The sequence below is a fragment of the Homo sapiens genome, chromosome 2 (assembly GCF_000001405.40).
Source record: "Homo sapiens chromosome 2, GRCh38.p14 Primary Assembly".
Lineage (NCBI taxonomy): Eukaryota > Metazoa > Chordata > Mammalia > Primates > Hominidae > Homo > Homo sapiens.
The window spans coordinates 197,913,941-197,934,995 of record NC_000002.12 but is presented as its reverse complement, the minus strand read 5'-3'; the positions used below and the strand labels follow the sequence as shown (position 1 = coordinate 197,934,995).

Genomic DNA, 21,055 nt, shown 5'->3' with positions numbered 1-21,055 from the left:
TTTGAAAAAGTGTCTGTTCATGTCCTTTGCCCACTTTCTAATGGAGTTGTTTGTTTCTTGCTTGTTAATTTAAGTTCATTTAGATTCTGAATATTAAACCCTTGTCAGATGCAGAATTTGCAGATATTTTCTCCTATTCTATAGGTTGTCTGTTTACTCTGTTGATAGTTTCTTTTGCTGTACAGAAGTAAAAGTGATATTAAATGTTCTCACAAAGAATGATACGTATGTGAGGTGACTGATATGTTAATTTGCTTGATTTAATCATTTCACAACATATACATATATGAAAACATTACTTGGTATACCATAAATATATACAATTTTTGTCACCTATAAAATGTTTTTGTCAACTATAAAATATTTTTCTTTCCTAACGAAGAAAAAAAAACTTATCCAGAGGTCAGAATTTAAGTTTATGCCTCTCTTATCTGCAAATACCTCATTCAAATAAAATCTATCATCTTAATAGTGCTTTTGAATATGAGAGAGAAAAAAAGAAACCTTCTGTCTTGGTTGCTATGGTTACAAGAAAGGCGTTGTGGATGTGAATATGCCGACTTCACAAAGTCAAAAGCAAGAACAGTGATATTCTCAGCACTGATAAACACTCTGCCACTACAGCTGCACATTTACAAACTTCCATGAACTCAATGAAAGTGGATTCAGGGATCCATTAGGTATTTTATCATATTATATATCATCCCCAGCTCACACTACTTTTAAAAGAGCTGAAGAAAGAAATCTCTTGATAGACAGCTTCCTGTCCATTTACAACCTAGAAGGTACCTAACAAAAAACAAACAAAAAAACTTGCTGGCAAACCAAACTGTTTTTACTGAGATAAGAAAGAAACCATAAACACAATCATTTTAAAACACTCATATTTTAAGTATAGCTGCTAATATTGAATGACAGTTGCCATAAACTCTAATTGGATGAGATGCATTAGAGTTAAGTGTGTTGAGCCAAAATGCTCTTACATTTGCCGTACAGATTTCCGGGAGCAATTCACAGTATGTATTTCTGCAGCTATAACCATTTTTAACCCAGATTACTCTTTCAGGAAGTTTATTTTAAGCTCAGTAACTTAAATACTGTACCCAAAAAATATATAGAAAGGAAGAAAGTAAGACTTTACAAAATTATTATAGAGGCCATTATATATATATAGACAATTATTATATAGACAATTATCCAGTCTACCATTATGAGCATTTAATATAGAATAAGAAAGAGCTCTGTACTGTATCACATCAAGAACCTTCTTCCCACCCTTAAGAAACATTCTGATCTTAAATCACCCTGCAGGCCCAGTTCCAATGACTTCCATTAGCTCTCAATTATCCACGATGATAATGAACCAGAACAAATAGTCAATTCACCAATTACCCTCATTTTGCCCAAATATCACAGCCTTTTCCTTAACTAATATAGCTAAAGATTTGCAATTAATCTATTAATCTTGTTATTTCCTTTCTACCAGCTCTGAGGCAATTAGTATATAGAAACAACACATACTAGCTAACACGGCGAAACCCCGTTTCTACTAAAAATACAAAAAATTAGCTGGGCGTCGTGGCAGGCGCCTGTAGTCCCAGCTACTTGAGAGGCTGAGGCAGGAAAATGGCGTGAACCCGGGAGGTGGAGTTTGCAGTGAGCCGAGATCGCACCACTGCGCTCCAGCCTGGGCAACAGAGAGAGACTCCGTCTCAAAAAAAAAAAAAAAAGAAAAGAAAAAAAAAAGAAACAACACAAACATCAGATGGGAGTCAGGAATAAAAGAAAGAGAAAAAGAGAACAACTTAGATAATTCTCCAACTTGATATTTAGCTCCTGAATAATTAAGAATCAACTAGGATATAGTGCCCACCACACTCACTGAAATTTTTTAAAATTCTCTTTTCATACCTTTAAGTCAAGGGCAAGCATTTTAAAAAGCAGACAGCCAATAACTGCTCCTCTCACACATACTTTGTTTCTAGGAGTAGATACTTTAAACTATTTCCTTTATGAAATTCTAACTTATTGTTTTTGTTGATTGGCCCTAAACCTCACCAAAACAAAACCAGCAGACCTAAGCAAATCAGGATGCCTCCCAGTTTCAGGTGATCTCTTTTTCCTTTTAACACTCACAGTGAAGTACCTAACATGCTCTCCTATTTCTTCACCATTCTGAATGCCATCTCCCAATCCTGCTTTAATACCAATTTACTGCCACAGCCCATGTCTCACTTACCTTTTAATTCCTGCAATACCTGGAATAGTGTCTTGTGCATAGTAGGTGACTAAGAAATTGATCTTGAGTTGAAGTAAGTTAAAAACGCCTTTCTATACACATGCAAAATAGTGAGTTAGCAGGAACAGAAAACCAGACACTGCATGTTCTCACTTATAAGCGGAAGCTGAACAATGAAAACACATGGACACAGGGAGGGGAACAGCACACACTGGGGCCTGCTGGGTTTGGGGGGTAGGGGGACGGAGAGCATCTGGAGAAATAGTCAATGCATGCAGGACTTAAAATCTAGGTGGTGGGTGACAGGTACAGCATACCACCATGGCACATGTTTACTTATGTAACAAACCTCCACGTCCTGCACGTGTCCCAGAACTTAAAATTAAATTAAATTTTTAAAAAATAGTTGTCAAAAAAGTGTAAGTACCTCAAAATGGGAAATAACTGTGTTCAGTGCAGTATAAAAAGAGGTCCTAGACAGCAATTCCTAAACCATCACAAGCTGAAGAAAATACCCAAGTTCACTGCATAATCTCATTCAACAGAATCAGAGCACTGAAACTAGCCACATCTCATCAGATGGTAACTGTGGAATGAGTGAGTATCAGAGGACCGTGCAATCAATATGAGTAGCAATGACCCAACAGAGAAAGTATGGGGAAGATCACAGAAGCCTAAAACTGAGAAATTGGCAGTTTTTCAGGTCCTTTGGTCACATCATGTCTTGCTCATTACCCATTCAAAAGAATTTCCTTTAAAATAGTCCAGTTCTGCTCTATGCAGGATATTTTACAATCTAGCCTTAAACAAAATTGAATATACATATGTAAATTATGTAAAATGACCACAGCCCTCCAATTTTGACAATTTTAACCTTAACAATTTAAACCTCTCCACTTCCCCTTTCATGTTCAACTGACCTGTGTAGTAATAAGACATTCAAGAAATAATTTTATCATAGTCCTTTATGCTTCCCACTGAATTTAAAACTGGGAATAAAGGCCTCTGTCCTATGAAAAGGTTAGATCATTGGTTGGTTGGGTGATTGGATGGTTGGGTGGGTGGGTGGGTGGGTGGGTGGTTGGTTGGTTGGTTGGTTGGTTGGTTGGATGGTTGTAGGTTGGTATGAGGAAGGCAAGAGGTCTGTCTATTTCTTGAATCATACTCAATAAGGCCATCTCCAAACAGGAAGACAGGAACCCCACCAAGATCATTTGTATAAAGGTACTGGTAGCTTCTGCCATAAAAAGGAAAAGAATGGGTGGAATTTGCATGCAGAAATGAATAATTTAATTGAAGATCAGCCGGTGTAGACTGCCTTATAAGTTGTTACCACCTACAGCAACAGCTGAGCCTCCTTGTAATTATAGTTCTATCAATGACTTTATCCTTTAAAGAAAAAAACAAAACCTGAAATATCCTCAGAGCACTATAAATGATAGCAACTATTCCAGAATGCTGCTCTGAGGTGGGTGAGGAAAGTTTAAGTCTGACTTTCACCGACCAGATCTAAACACTTTTATGGGGGCAAAGGGAGCCCAGGCTTTCTTGCTAGCAATAGATACTGCTTCTTAGGCTCTATCTTCCCTTCCGAGACACCTCCCAGTTTCTTTTCCCAATCAAGGTGGCTCTTATTTTTATTCCAGCTGGAATTTACCACACGAAACTTAAGAGGGTGAGCATATAATGTGACTTAGCCCAAACCCTTCACTTACCTGCCCTGCCACCCTCCAACTGACCCCTCCCTCATGACCTTCTGTCCACAGCCCCTGCTCATTCAGCACTGATGTAGAATAGGGCATAGAGTAAAGAGTAACTGTCTACCACTTTTAGCAGCCTATCTTTATAGAAAACAAGATCATAGAAGGCACAATAAACCAAATAAGCCCTTCCCAGATAGAAAAAAGAACTTTGACAGTGCTGGCCTCCTTATGTGGGAACTTTTGTGAGTTAAAAATGTTATTAATAAAATTGCAAACATGCCCCTCCATATGTGTCCTGGTAGGAGCAAGATGGCTCCCTGAAAATTATGCAGGCAGATGACCTACTGATTACAATTCTTCCTCACATCTGCAGTGTGTTGCAGCTCAGAAGGCCTGACCAATTGTCGCTGTATGGTGCCTAGAGTTCTATGAACATACATTATTTTTCCAAAACATACAAGGAAATGAAAAGCATCAAAGAATAAGGTATAGTAGGAAAACGAGGCCTCTTTACACAATAAACTATTAAGAAGAAAAACAAAAGACCCAGTTATTTCATTTTATTTTAGCCCCTTAGTTTTCACAGATTTAAAGTCATCAAGTATAAAAGAACCCAAAGATCTTTCCCTCAAGACATTTCACCAAATAGCTCAACTGCCAAACATCTGAATTTGAGTTCAGTCATATCATTTGCATGTACTCTATTTTGTGAAGAACAGATCTGTTGAAGTAGTGTTTCTTATTACCAAAATTGTATGTTTCCCTGAAGCAATGTAGTAATTAAAGATTCTCCTTGACTGATATTTTCAAAAACGTCTATTTAAAGTGGGAGGTTGGGATATGTGGTAAGTCTTATGAAAGTGTGAAGTAGTTAAAAGATCTAAATGGCACATATTCCATTGCAGATCACTTAAGTTACTTTTAGGTTGTTAATATTTATATAGAGCAGTAGTAATGGATTTTTCTTTACTTCAGAAGTTCCAAGATTAGTAGGCATTTGCACAGATTAATGCACACTCTTCCATGCAGATTCACCCCATGGGAATCTTTTTCCCTCTCACTATTTGATACTCAGTGAGACATCTGTGTATCACAGGAGAAAAAATGTCAAAAGAACAACTTTAGGTAATGTTTGATTCAATAAATAAATTGAAATTAAGTATGTTATTTTTGTTTTCTTTTTCTCTCTATTATTCTATAACCTCACACTGATAGAGTAGATAAAGGATGAGGCAATGCAAGTCAACGAATGAGAAACAAAGATGGACGAAGAACTAAAGGAAAGTCTCTGTGTCACTTACTTTACTAGTTACCTAGCACTATTTTTAACTCTCTCATTAGAATTCATACCTGCCCAGAATCCAAATGTGAAGCTGTCCAGTACTCTGTTCTAAAATCAAAACACATCAAATGCCCAGCTTTCAATTATTCCTATAAAATATATCTTAATCACTCATATCCCTTCTACCTAACCTTCTGAAGTACCTGAAAACTGTCAAGAGAAAAGGAAGGAATTCTTGATATGAATCCCACTAAGTCACTGTGAGTCACAGAAATGGCCAGGCCACTCCTGCTTATCTGCTAATAACAGCTGCAGCCACTTCCAACTGAAGAGCAGGAGCCTTCCTGCCCACCAAACAAAGAGTGGAAACAGGAAAGAATCTTCATTCAACAGTTAAGGAGCATGCTGCCTCATCTTCTGGAAGGTGGAGCTTCCTTCTAGGGTGTTTATAAGACTGCTGATACAAATGTATAAAACCCAAATCAGGAGAAGGCGTTTACAGTCGGCCCTCCATATCCATGGGGGATTGGTTCCAGGACCCCAGAAGGATACCAAATTCAAGAATGCTCAAGTCTCTTATATAAAATCGTTCAGTACAGTATAACAAATGTCACTATGGCATTAATGAGGCTAGAAAATGACTGGCCTGGAAACTGTTTATTCATTAACATAATTTAAAAACTAACAATTCACTGAAGCATATACATTAGCAATCACAGAATCTCATTTAGTTAAGTGACACATGCCAATGCTAAAATGTTTTCATTATAGAAAAGTTGAAAAAATTAAAGAAAAGTGTAAAGAAAAAGATTACCAAAGGGGAAACAATATAATCCAAACAGAAGGCAATGACTATTGACATGGTGGTATATTTTTCCAGGTATTTTTCTAGGCATATTTATTTTTGAATTGTTGTACTGAGTTGTATACATAATTGTGAATCGATTCTGTTGCTTCATTTACTATTGTAATATCTAAGTTATGAGAAACTCTTTATAAATATCATGTTTATGACTGAGTTTAATCTTGGAACTAAGCAAAGGTGAAGACAAGGACTCATCAGTGATTTAACACCTTTTTAAAATCAAAGTTCAAGGATACACTTCCATCATTAACATTTCATCATATTGTTTTCATAAATACTTTTAGAATTGTGGGATCCAGTCCAAGTCAAAAAAAAGAGAGTCCCCTAACAGTGCTTAACACTTTCAAAATAATAATCCATTTCATAAATCTTCAGAGCAAAAACTATACCAGTGGTAATAATGTTAGCACAGATTCCACTCAGAGCATCTTGAATATTTATCTAAGACATAGTCCCAGCATTGGCTAGTATCTATACTTCTTTAAAAATATAATGGGGTCAAGAGAGAATTTTCATGTAAGTTAACTTCCTAGAGGCTCCTAACAGCTCTTCATAGTTAGTACTTAGTGAAAAATAAGCAACATTTGCTTGCTTAATGCCACTGAGTACAGAGTCAAGGAGATTTAACCATGACAATTAAGTCATGTTGAGTGATTATATAAATTGGAAGAAATTTCTTGTCCAAAGTGAAGAGCTAATACATATATCATTCTGGATGCTTACTCATGACTAATCATGTATTGAGCAATAAATGCAAAAGGAAAAATTGAAACTTGATGAAAGGAAGTTTCTAAAACTGTATACCTTTGGTTGAAATATATGCATATAATGACTAGATGCAGATATAAAGCAATATACCAGTCAAAAAAATCATACCATCAAACTTCATTTAAAAATGACCCTTGGTTCTAAATTTAACCTTAAGAGTTTGTGCATTTTTCACAAAATGGATCCTTCTTTGTGCTTTTCCTAAAAGAGGGGAAAACTACACCATATTTGCTTGTCAATTTTCACATAATCTGGCCATAACGTCACTAATGCTAGTCATCAGTGTCTGTTTGGGTTATTCCTGAGAAACAATATAACCTTAAAATTTTCCATAATAAACATAGATTTTGACACTCAAATTATTTCATCTTAGTATCTCACCCATGCACACTTGAATCAAAAGTTTGACCCATGAAGGAAGGTGTCTAGTGATAGGATCCCTCCTCCCAAGTAGTCCTTTCAAGTGAGCCAGAGAGGTTTCTAAATCTGGAAACCAGCATAGCCATTTCTCCAGAATTTTTGTAAAAATGCCCTGTGAGTTGGCTTATGTAATACTTGGCTGTTTGCCTTGAAAACACTAATTTTGTTCATTACAATGCTACTTTTGCTTTTCTACCTTTCTTCTTTGTATTTTTAGCATTAGGAAAAGACAGAAGGTAACCCTCAAAATGATAGAAGAACATATCAACCAAATTCTTCTTGAAATCCCAAAGGAAAGAGATATGAAGCATCACAGAAGAGGGTGAATACATTGAGGAGGGGCTCACTGACATTGGTGGTGCCAAGATGAGTTAAAGCAATGAATGGAGACAGAATTAAATAACATTAAATGACATGGTAGAATGCCATTCCCCTTTCAGTTCTCTTTCAATCCCTCTGATTACATCACAAAGAACATTTAAGTTTGCTATTCTTTAACACCCCTCTGACAATAACTGTGATAGATAAAAAGATGGCCACAAATTCTTCCCTACTATTTTCCTTGAATCTGAACTAGACTAAATCAATAGAAAGTGGTTAAGATGTTGTGGGACTTCAGAGCCTAGATCCTAAGAAACCTCAGTGTCCACGAAGACTTCTTTGAGCACTCACTCTTGGAACTTAGCTGCCACATGTGATGACAAACCATATGAAGAAGCAACGTGTAGGCACTACAGGAAATAGCTTCAGGCGGTCCCAGCTAACAGGTAGCAGCCCTTGCCCAGCCAAATAAGACAACCACCATGAACATCCAGCCCAATCAAGCCTTCAGATAATCCCTGCCCCAGCTGTCAAATGAAACCTCATGCCAAACCCAAACGAGTACCACAGGATAGCCAAGTCAACCCACAAAAATGTGAGTGATAGTAATAAAGTATTATTTTAAACCACTAAGTTTTGGGTGGCTTGTTTTGCAGCAACTGATAACCAGAAGGCTTCCTACTCCCCAGTTTCAAGAAAGAAACAATAGGCTGCAGTTTCAGCAAATGCGCAGGCCAATAGTAGACAAATGATAAAAATACTACTTTTGATCTTATTTATGTTTGTGCCATGTGATAGTGGGTTTTTATTTATGGTCACGGTTAGAAAAGGCAACATCAAATGAATACAAAGTTAAAGAGACAAATTTTTTAAATATCACGTAAATTATAATTTGAGTTTGAAAGCTCATAACAAAAAATGGGATGGTGAATGGCCATGAATGGCTGACATATGGGAAACATTGCATAAAGATAAAGGATAACATGGAAAGGTTCTAAGGGAATAGACTAGGCTCAGAAACAGAAACCTCTTATTTTGCCTAAAGAGGTAAAATGGCAGTGCAAAATCCACAAGTGGGTTCAGCCATTGCTTGTCACATTCTGATGTTTTCTGTCTATGTGTCACTACTTATTCCTGAGTCTCTACTACAAAATCTGAGGGTAACTCTGACCTCTCCCACAGGGTTGGTTTGGGGCTCTACAGCATGTTATTGAATCTACTCATATACTCTTTGGAGGTAGAAAAAAATCACAGTGAGCCACTGAAGCTTGACAAGTTATTTGCTGACATGCTGTGAACAAGAAATTTACACATGTTGCAGAGCAGCAAGTAAGGATTCATAAAGATGAGAGGGAAAACAAGACCCCCTCAAAGACAAACCAAAAGCCATAACTGACAAACATGGTTTGAATAGAAGGAAAGCTGACCTTCAAAACAAGACTGAATTTCATTCAGAATGTATTTAAGATCCAGAAGAAAGGACAGATGTGCTACAAATAGAGTGACAAAATATGATACTTAAGAGCATTTAAAACTGAGTAGAAAAATCAGGTCTCCAGCTAAAAGAGAGATTGAAATAAAAAGGGTTAATGACAAAGGTGTGGGAAGGTTTGGCAGGAGGCTCTGGTGTAGAGGAGGTCTGAGGGAGGGAGGGAGGGAGGGAGTGTTAGTGAGTGCATGGAGAAAAGTTGTAGTTTAAGTACAACTAGCAGACCATTAACATTTATGATGGATGTCCTCAGGCTTTTGTAAATACCACTACAACATATGATTTCCTCCATAAGATACACACTTGAGAAGATGTGGGTACAGGCTTTCTCCTTGGCTAGGAGTGGCTCCAACAAATTAGTCTTGCATTCTCACTGTCATATTTATGATTTGACCCAATTACAAATCACCACATTGAAGAGCTTAAAGTTCATTCCCAAATAATAGAAACTGAAAATGTTAAATCTGGGAAAGCCAAGAGTCTACTGTATTCACTTGGGAAGAAATTTCTTCTCAGAAGCTGAATGTTGATGATTAAGCAATCCACTAGCTAGAACTGAAACACCCCACTCAAAATTCAAGCTAACTGATTTTTTTTAACCAACCAGTTTTTAAAACTTCTCCAATATACTTCTATAGCACATAAACAAATCCCTCACAACTCTGAAAATTTTATTTTATATTTTTCACTTTATCACCCATATAAATACAGATTTTTTTTCTCAATACTTAAAAGTTTTCAGTGTGGGAAACAGCATGTGGTGTTGATAATTTCCTAGCCGGCACATTCATAAATTCAAGATTATTGAGAACTACAACAGTGTCCACAAAAGCCCATCAGGAAAAGTAAAAAACTGATTCTTAATCTGTTCATTTATAAATCACTTTTTCCATCTTAAAAACCAAAGCCATAATATTATGCTACATTTCAGATTGTTTGATTGCCCGAATTTATTCAACAAATGGGTAGGGAATCAGCTAGAAATTTGCATTCCTTTCACTTTATTCTATGATCAGTTCTAGATTATTCTCAAATATTATGGAAACCCTAAATGTAATATCTAAATGTAACGTTAAAAACTCTAGATGTAATACCTGAAATGCTCTGGGTTTTCAGTCAACCACTTAAGTCCTCAGAATATAATGAATACGTTCCTACTCATGACCCCCCCAGATAAGAAGGATGCTAAATTCAACTGTTGCTCTCCCTGTGCTGACAGGCAGGCCTGCACAGTGCTCAACAGTGAACTGGAGCCGGTCTCGACCCTGTGAGCGCTTCATTAAACAAGTTTAGCCCTCTGTACTTCAGTTCCCTGGTCTATAAAGTGCTGTATCAATAATAATAGTATTGCTCATGGGTTGTTGTAAAGATTAAATAGAGTGATACACATAAAATACTTAGCCTAATGCATCTACATACATTTTAGTGCTACTGTTTGTTGTTGTTACTAAGATTTACCACAACTCAAATTAACTCAAATCTAAAGGTGAATTTCTCAGAGCTTTCTCCATTGTCAATACCAGTGGAGGGTTCACCTGAAAAGATGTTTGTGTATTTGTGATATGACTGCTCTCAATTAAGAATTTATCAATCAGAGCCTGCTCAGGAGGAACAAAGACATTGAAGCTGCAGCAGAGACAAGGTCTTGATTTTCAAAGATCAGGCCTACGGCTAGGGTAAAGCTAGTGAAGCACTTGCCTTGCGTGCAAAAATGTAAGGGGGCCTCTCCCTCTCCCTCTCCCTCTCCCTCTCCCTCTCCCTCTCCCTCTCCCCACGGTCTCCCTCTCATGCGGAGCCGAAGCTGGACTGTACTGCTGCCATCTCGGCTCACTGCAACCTCCCTGCCTGATTCTCCTGCCTCAGCCTGCCGAGTGCCTGCGATTGCAGGCACGCGCCGCCACGCCTGACTGGTCTTGGTGGAGACGGGGTTTCGCTGTGTTGGCCGGGCCGGTCTCCAGCCCCTAACCGCGAGTGATCCGCCAGCCTTGGCCTCCCGAGGTGCCGGGATTGCAGACGGAGTCTCGTTCACTCAGTGCTCAATGGTGCCCAGGCTGGAGTGCAATGGCGTGATCTCGGCTCGCTACAACCTACACCTCCCAGCCGCCTGCCTTGGCCTCCCAGGGTGCCAAGATTGCAGCCTCTGCCCGGCCGCCACCCCGTCTGGGAAGTGAGGAGCATCTCTGCCTGGCCGCCCATCGTCTGGGATGTGAGGAGCCTCTCTGCCTGGCTGCCCAGTCTGGAAAGTGAGGAGCGTCTGCGCCCGGCCGCCATCCCATCTAGGAAGTGAGGAGCGCCTCTTCCCAGCCGCCATCACATCTAGGAAGTGAGGAGCGTCTCTGCCCGGCCGCCCATCGTCTGAGATGTGGGGAGCGACTCTGCCCCGCCGCCCCATCTGGGATGTGAGGAGCGCCTCTGCCCGGCCGAGACCCCGTCTGGGAGGTGAGGAGCGTCTCTGCCCGGCCGCCCCGTCTGAGAAGTGAGGAGACCCTCTGCCTGGCAACCACCCCGTCTGAGAAGTGAGGAGACCCTCCGACCGGCAGCTGCCCCGTCTGAGAAGTGAGGAGCCTCTCCACCCGGCAGCCACCCCATCTGGGAAGTGAGGAGCGTCTCCGCCCGGCAGCCACCCCGTCCGGGAGGGAGGTGGGGGGGGTCAGCCCCCCGCCCGGCCAGCCGCCCCATCCGGGAGGGAGGTGGGGGGTCAGCCCCCCGCCCGGCCAGCCGCCCCGTCCGGGAGGTGAGGGGCGCCTCTGCCCGGCCGCCCCTACTGGGAAGTGAGGAGCCCCTCAGCCTGGCCAGCCGCCCCGTCCGGTAGGGAGGTGGGGGGGTCAGCCCTCCGCCCGGCCAGCCGCCCCGTCTGGGAGGTGAGGGGCGCCTCTGCCCGGCCGCCCCTACTGGGAAGTGAGGAGCCCCTCTGCCCGGCCAGCCGCCCGGTCCGGGAGGGAGGTGGGGGGGTCAGCCCCCCGCCCGGCCAGCCGCCCCATCTGGGAGGGAGGTGGGGGGGTCAGCCCCCCGCCCGGCCAGCCGCCCCGTCTGGGAGGTGAGGGGCGCCTCTGCCCGGCCGCCCCTACTGGGAAGTGAGGAGCCCCTCTGCCCGGCCAGCCGCCCCGTCCGGGAGGGAGGTGGGGGGGTCAGCCCCCTGCCCGGCCAGCCACCCCGTCCGGGAGGTGAGGGGCGCCTCTGCCCGGCCGCCCCTACTGGGAAGTGAGGAGCCCCTCTGCCCAGCCAGCCGCCCCGTCCGGGAGGGAGGTGGGGGGGTGGGGGGGTCAGCCCCCTGCCCGGCCAGCCGCCCCGTCCGGGAGGTGAGGGGCGCCTCTGCCCGGCTGCCCCTACTGGGAAGTAAGGAGCCCCTCTGCCCGGCCACCACCCCGTCTGGGAGGTGTGCCCAACAGCTCATTGAGAACGGGCCAGGATGACAATGGCGGCTTTGTGGAATAGAAAGGCGGGAAAGGTGGGGAAAAGATTGAGAAATCGGATGGTTGCCGTGTCTGTGTAGAAAGAAGTAGACATGGGAGACTTTTCATTTTGTTCTGCACTAAGAAAAATTCTTCTGCCTTGGGATCCTGTTGATCTGTGACCTTACCCCCAACCCTGTGCTCTCTGAAACATGTGCTGTGTCCACTCAGGGTTAAATGGATTAAGGGCGGTGCAAGATGTGCTTTGTTAAACAGATGCTTGAAGGCAGCATGCTCGTTAAGAGTCATCACCAATCCCTAATCTCAAGTAATCAGGGACACAAACACTGCGGAAGGCCGCAGGGTCCTCTGCCTAGGAAAACCAGAGACCTTTGTTCACTTGTTTATCTGCTGACCTTCCCTCCACTATTGTCCCATGACCCTGCCAAATCCCCCTCTGTGAGAAACACCCAAGAATTATCAATAAAAAAATAAATTTAAAAAAAAAAAAAAAAAAGAATTTATCAATCAACCTGCACTTGTCTCTATCTGTACCTAGAATTCTGCTAGATAGGGCACTTTCCTTCACTAACACCACCCAAATACAAAAGGAGAAAATATAGAAACATTAAATATAAAGATAATAACACAAGTTTTCATGACTGTTATATTATGAGATACCCAGTAAAAGAGTTGTAAAAATTCTGATGAGAGAAATAACAGTGTGAACTGGATTTCAGTTTTCTGATATTTCAGAAAAGATATGCAGTTTCTGTTGTACATTAAACTCAAAGAAGTGTATGTCAGGTGAGAGAGACGGTGTGATCAAAGGTACAGAGGTGGAACAAGAGTGGAGTGTGCATAGAAATTAAGTCATGAAAATAGAGATTTTGGTGGGTAAGTACAGGTATGCTTGTTTCTCCAAGTATTAGGTAAAGAAATGCTTATTTATTTATTTATTTAAATTTGATTTGTATTTTTTGAACTTTTATCCATTTATTTAATTCAACTATAAAAGCTTATATCCGCCTGAATTAAGTATGAGGACATTTTTCCACGCCAATATTTATAATCAAGGCATACATTCTTACCACAACCAGTAATTTTTCACCCGAAACTTTGAAAAGGACCCCTATTAATTAATAGAGGTGCCTCTTGTTTTCCTATTTCATAGGTTCCATGCCATTATAAGTAACACTCAGCAACTGATAGATGCTGGTTTGCTATCATTCAATATAAACCAAATTTTCAGAAGAAATACAGTCATGTACCACATAACGCTTTGTTCAACAACCAACCTCATATATGACAGATTATAATACTGTATTTTTTACTGTCCCTTTTCTATTTTTAGATATGTTTAGATGCACAAATACCATTGTGTTATAATTGCCTACAGTATTTAGTACAGTAACATGCTGCATTCTTTGTAGCCTAGGAGCAATAGGTTGTATCATGTAGCCTAGGTGTGTAATAGGCTACACCGTCTAAGTCTGTCAATGTGAGTATACTCTATGATGTTTGTATGATGACAAAATCGCCTAACAATGCCCTGTCGTTAGCGACACATGACTGTACAATCACTAGATACTAAAGGCATAAGTATACATTCAATTTCATCTCCATGGCCTTTCTCATTGAGCTGGGAAATTAACTTGCTCATAAATCAAAATACGAAAGGCTTTCATGGTTTGCAAAGAACATTACATTGGCTTGCAAATAATGCTGGATATTTGCCCACTTTTGGAAAACAGCTGCAACAAAGTTATAGAAAATATGCCAAGTCATTTCACCCTTAGTTCTATATATATTCTTCAGAGGGCACAAGACCACAGCAGGTGTATCTTTTTACACTAGACACTGTCTGTAAGAACTATAATAATTTGAGCAGCATAAACCTATGCAAGCAACCTTAGGTACTTTTGCATATGTTATTATATACTTACTCTATTTTGCAATCATTCCATTAATTTCAATTGTTTCACTCATCAGAAATGTTACAATAAAATGAAGCAGCCATTTGGTTAATAATTTTTTCAAAATATGAAGTTACCATTTCAAAGGAGCTAGAAAAATAGTAATAATTTCCAATTCCAAGAAAGAAATCTCAGTCTTCCTCAGGCACTCTGTCCTCTGCTTGTCACTGATGTAGCATCCCATGCTACATGGTAGTGTCCAGTTTCTTCATGTTTCACAAACCACTCAACATCAAAAGCACTGGAGAGAAAGATGATACACACAAGTCTTCCAATGAGCATTCTGAGACAGTCTGTGGAACAGCTGTCCCTTTCACTCTCCCCTGCAGAAATAGCTGTGCCATTCTGAACAGCATTGTGATTAATGTTTCATATTCAAAAGTTTAATTTGACGGACCACTGATAAATTTTGAGTTGCAGAGTCAAAAAGACCAATGGATAAACAATAACCCAGTTGCTATTGACTTTGTGCCAGAAGACAATATATATGATCTTATTTCATTTTCATGACCACCCTATGGCTAGGCATTATTATTACCCTCATTTTCCAGATAAGGAAATCAAAGCACAAAGAGGTTAGGGAAGTTGCCCAAGATCACACAACTAGTAAATGGTGTGTAGCCAGGATTCAAACCCAAGCAATCTAAGAACTTGTCATTTTCTTCCAGAGACTTAATACAATGAGTTTATTTCTCATTCATGCTTCAAGGTCAACACAGGTCATCAGGAGAGTGCTCTGCTCTTCTTAGTCACTCAGAGAATCAGGCATACAGAAGCTCCATTTGGACACATATTTCCCCATTCATGCAGGCAGGAAAAGGAAATGTAGCAAACCTTGTACCAGCCCTTAAAATGTCCTCCTGGATAGAACATAAGTCACTTCCTCTCTTGTATCATTGGTGATTACAAGTCATATGCCTAACTTCAAAGAGGCTAGGAAATGCATTCTTACTCTGTGTTAGGAAGGCAGACAGCCAAAATATTTTGGAGCAGAACTAATGACAACTATAAAGGAAGTCAATGAGTGGGGGTTTTGAAGACACAGGAACATCATTAGAATTGTCAAGGAGGTGGAGCTTCCAATAACTATCTTGATTTTGATTTTTTTAGTTATGTTAAAACATCATGATAGTAAACGACATGTGGGTAAATGCCCTGTAAGAAAATCTTTGTGCTTCAGTACAAAACTATACATTGTCTAGAAAACATCCTTCTGGGTATCTGATTCTGACCCTATGGGTGTTGTCTTACAACTCTATAAATTATAGGTAACCGATTGCAATACAAAACAATTCTTGTCTATAGACATGCACATTATGTCCTGTCCAGTGGAGGTTAAACTGACTTGCTTTCCTCCCAGCAAAAGAAGCTAGTTTTGCCTCCATTTGCATGTTCATTTCAATATTTTTGATCTATAAATATATCTGATCTTTGGATTTATCTTTAAACTAGTTGTAGCATCTGCCTTGTTCCTTCATTATGAATTAAGTAAAATCTTTTAACACTATAATAATTTTTATATCTGTATGTGAGTCATTATTTTACTTTGTGTGTGTATGTGTGTGTGTGAGGGAGAGAGAGAGAGAGAGAGAGAGAGAGAGAGACAGGGTCTCCGTCTGTTGCCCAGGCTGGAGTGCAATGGTGCAATCACAGCTCACTGCAGCCTCAACCTCCTAAGCTCAAGTGATCCTCCCACCTCAGGCTCCCCTAGTAGCTGGGACTACAGGTGCATGCTACCTCACCTGGTTAATTTTTCGTTTTTTGTTTTTTGGGATTTTTTTGGCAGAGATTGAGTTTCGCCATGTTGCTCAGGCTGGTCTCAAACTCCTGGGCTCAAGCTATCTGCCTGCCTCAACCTCCCAAAGTGCTGGGATTACAGGCATGAGCCACCGTGCCTGGCCAACTTTACCCTTGTTAAAAATCTTCTTTTAAATGGACCATTATTTTTTATAATAAACTTTAATTTTTAGAACAGTATCAGACTGTAGAAAAATAATGAAAATAGTACAGAGAGTTCCTATATACTCCATACTCCGTTTCTCCTATTTATATCTTACATATTATGGTACATGTTTTTATAGTTAATGAACTATTACTGATATATTAACTAAAATCCATATTTTCTTCTAATTTCCTTAGTTTTTGCCTAACGCCCTCTTTCTGTTCCAGGCTCTCATCCAGGAAACCACACTGCAGTTAGTTGACATGTCTCCGCCTTAGGCTCCTCTCGGCTGTGATAGTTTCTCATTCTTTTCCTGTTTTTGATTACCTTATTAGTTTTGAGTACTGGTCAAGTATTATATAACATGTCCCTGAACTGGGATTTATCTGATGTTTTTCTCATGATCAGACTGGGGTTATGGGTTTGGAGGAGGAAGACAACAGAGGTAAGGTGCCATTTTTATCATATCAAGTGATAAATATGTATGTATAGAGAATATATACTATCAAATGATTTCTCACTGTTGAGGTTAACCTTGCTCACCTGGCTAGTTTTTGTTGGGTTTCTCCACTGTAAAGTTACTTTAACCCACCTTTCCACACTGTACTCTTTATATCAGTATGGACTCACGGATCTATTTTATTTGGGGTGGCGGTGGGGCAGGTTCCAGTACTACTTTATGTTGTTGCTCAAACAGTTCCAGTGTTGGCCATTGGAAGCTCTTTCAGTTGGCTCCTGGGTCCCTTTGATATAACCCATTCTTGTGGATTTGTTTGTTGTTGTTATTGTTTTGTTTTAAGCTCTTCCTTACTTCATGGCACTACAAGATACTACAGGTTCATCGCGTACATCTCCTGCCCAGTCCTAGAATCATCCACTTACATAAGGAGCCTTGGTTCCTTTTCCTTGGTTCCTTTTATCGTCTTGTCACATTCTGCATTCAATCCTAGGATCCCCCAACCCCTTAAATTATTTTTTCATTTGCATACATTAAGGTTCACTCTGTGTACTATAAAGTTCTATGGGTTTTAACAAATACATAGTATCATATATCCATAATTACAATATCATACAAAATAGCATCACCACCCTAAAAAATTCTCTGTACTTCACCTACTCAACCCTGCTTCCTCTGCCAGCAACCACTAATAGTTTTACTATTACTACAGTCACTTTTCCAGAATATCATATAATTGGAACCATAGAGTATGTAGCCTTTCACTTAGCAATATGCATTTAAGATTCATCCATTTCTTTTTGTGGCTTGATAGCTATTTCTGTTTATCAATGAATAATATTTTATTTTATGATATACCACAATTTATCTAATCACCTATTAAAGGACATTTTTGTTGTTTCTAGTTTTCAGAAATTATTAATAAAGCTGTCAAAACATTCACATGTAGGTTTTTGTGTAGACAAGTTTTCAAATCCATTTGGTAAATAACTAGGAGTACAATTTCTGGTGTGATAAGACTATATTTAGCTTTGTAGGAAACTGTCAAACTATCTTTTAAAGTGGCTGTTCCATTTTGTTTTCCCAGAAGCAATGAATGAGGGTTCCTTTTGCTCTGCATTCTTGCCAGCAATTGGTATTGTCAGTTTTTTTGGATTTTTGCCATTCTAATAGGTGTACAGTGGTTTCTTATTGTTGTTTAATTTGCAATTCTCATCTACAGCCATACTACCTTGAACATGCCTAATCTTGTCTAATTTGCAATTCCCTAATGACAAAAATGACATCTTTCCATATGCTTGTCATCATGTATATTTTTAGTGAGGTATCTGTTCAGTTCTTTTGCCCATTTTTTATTTGAGCAGGTAATAACTTTTTAGCCTACATCATTTTGCTGGGCACCGGGCATCAGAGTCCATCTTTGATTTTCCCTTCACTCTTATTTTTGGGCAGTATCTGGTATGCAATTTGAATTGGCCTTCTCTGAAAGCCTGCTCTCTTAACCATGACTCTGTCCTGGTCTCTAAACTGCTGCAGCTGCTGGTAATGAAGATGATGATGATGATGATATATATTGAGTGCTAACTATGTGCCATTGCATGGACTGCATTGTACATATATAAGTGTACAGCATGGATTATTCCCTTTCCTCCTCACAACAACCCTAAATGTAAATACTATCAGTATCTCTGTTTTATAAATGAGAAAACTGAAAACTAGAGAACATTAAGAAACTTGCCCATGTTTACAGCTAGTGAGTAACTGAGCCACTACTGAATCCAGAGAGTTTAAGTCCAGAGCCTATAATCTTAACCAGTATGGAATATCCACACTGCCTAGAAACTAGAAAGATAAAAAGCTAAAAACAACTTATATTCTTTCCCAGTGCTTAAAAATACTTGAAACACCAAATCAGTCATTTTTGGAAACTACCAAAAACAAATATTATCTGTGGAAAAGGAATGAAACAAATTACTGATAAGTAGTCAAAATAATGTTATCTGAATGCTGAAAATGTACTCCTACCAAGTAAAACACAGAGAAGAATTAGGCAATCTTTGCCTCAAGAATTTAATGGTTAGGACAAAGGAAGGTTTCAACATCTCCAAGTTGCAGCACTAATATGACCACAAGCAATCACAGACATATGCCTACCAGGCTCTTAGTTATAGCAACTAAAGCTGGTATATTGTCTGATGCTAACTTAGCTATTTCTCCTATTGTCCTCTGAAAAATCTTATACTAATTCTAGAAACAATAACAACTGAGATACCTAAAGAAGTGTCATTGGTAAAGAAATCATCCTTCATCTCTGTATCTCTCTCAGCCTTCGCATCACCAAGCCCCTCCAACCACTTGAGTCAGAGCTTTGAGATGAAAGGGAAATCATCACCTTATCACACACAAATAGGGTATCGGTGCCTCATGGAAGGGAAGCAGTTGAGCTGGAAATCATCACTAGGTTGTCTGAAATCCTTCCTGACGATTAACAAGCTGCTTCTGTGAAAGGAGCACATGCTATGAAGAAGAAAGATCTCCACCTTCTTCTGCTTAACTCCCAGCACCACTGAACTGGGAATCTCACATCCTGCTGCCATCGGACTTCAAAAAAAAAAAAAATCTCCTTCTGAAGAGTAAAATTTTGAGGTTTGGTTTAAAAAAAAAAACCCTCCTTTTATCCACAGAATTCTTGGAAAGAGTGTCTTCTGACTCTTCCTCTCTTTCACACTTGACAAGTAAAATTCCTCCAAAACTGGCTCCTCATTTAAATATGGGTAGGAAATAGATTTAGACTTGGCATCTTGAAAAATGGGACTGCTGACATACAAATCCTGCTACTTTATGTGGTATTGTTGACACCGCTATCACTTCTTTTACTGGTTGATCCTTGAGAGCAGCTTTAATCAGGTTAATCATTACTGTTTCCAAATTTTGTTTTTAAGTTAGCAGATGATTTGAAGATTAAACCCCTTCTAGGCTCTAATCTCATCTGGAAGTTGGAATTGTTCTTACCTGAGCTGCAAACTGTCCAGAGCATGCAGTCAAAACAAGAATGCAGGATCTCTAGAACTCTAAATGGTATTTTGGCTCCTTGGGAAGAGCTCCATGTCCCTGACAACGTTTTAAATAAATGCTTCTTTATCCAACTCTTAATTCCAACAATATGAATCATGTTCCAGGTTATTTATGAGGAAACAACATGCCCTTCTCAGACACTGTGTTACTCCCTTCCAGGCCACTATTGCAGAGCCTCCTGTTCACCTGTAATAAATGGTGCGCCCTTCCATTGTGCAGCAATTGCCTTATGTTGTGGTCCTACTTACATCAGTTAAAGTGAGCCAAAGACAAGAACTGTGTCCTCTCATCTCTGTAACCCCCTCACACAGTAGGTATTCAATAACTGTTTATTGACTTAACTGATTTAATAAATCACCCTGCGACACAGGACTGCTATTTGATAAAGTTGTTTAACAGTATCTCTTTCATGTGCTGACTATTTTAACATAAAAATATGGCCGGGCACAATGGCTCACATCTGTAATCCCAGCACTTTGGGATGCCAAGGCGGGCAAATCACAAGGTCAGAAGTTTGAGACAAGCCTGGCCAACATTGTGAAACCCCGTCTCTACTAAAAATACCAAAAACTAGCTGGGTGTGGTGGCGTGCACCTGTAGTTCCAGCTATTCAGGAGGCTGAGGCAGGAGAATCACTTGAACCCAAGAGGCAGAGGTTGAGGTGAGCCGAGATTGTGCCAGTGCACTCCAGCCTGGACTACAAGAACAAAACTCCATTTCAAAAAAAAAAAAAATAACATAAAAATTTAATGTGAAAGCAAATAGGACCTATATATTTTCACTACCATATAAATCAGATATTCACTTTTTGCTTTTTCTTTACACCCATGTCATGATGTCTGTGATTTACTCTTAAATGCTCCAACATTACGAATGTGTAAATTAACTTAATATACCCTAAAGTGTTTCAGTTACCCTAATTGGGGATCCATACTCCTGGGATGGTTAGCTAACATTTAATCAGAAAGACCACACTATCAGTGGTTACTACAAATGCTTCAACTCTCTCTATTTCTAGTCTGGCCAGAGGCTTTACTAATTAACACAATGAATGTTAGAAATGAGTTTTTCTTGATTAAAATAGTAACATATTAATTAGTATAATGGATATTAAAAATGGACTATC

At 39.9% G+C, this 21,055-nt stretch overlaps 1 protein-coding gene across 2 annotated transcripts in view, besides 1 other annotated feature; it reads right to left on the bottom strand.

The window, feature by feature from the left end:
• PLCL1 (phospholipase C like 1 (inactive)) overlaps window positions 1–21,055 on the bottom strand; it is a 345,271-nt gene that overhangs the window by 214,868 nt on the left and 109,348 nt on the right. The window lies entirely within an intron of this gene.
• Window positions 5,357–5,651: an enhancer, noted in NCBI's record as "tiled region #14302; K562 Activating DNase unmatched - State 5:Enh". NCBI's record gives its function as "activates a minimal TATA promoter and a strong SV40 promoter by Sharpr-MPRA in K562 cells {active_cell/tissue: K562}" and the evidence as "EXISTENCE:reporter gene assay evidence [ECO:0000049][PMID:27701403]".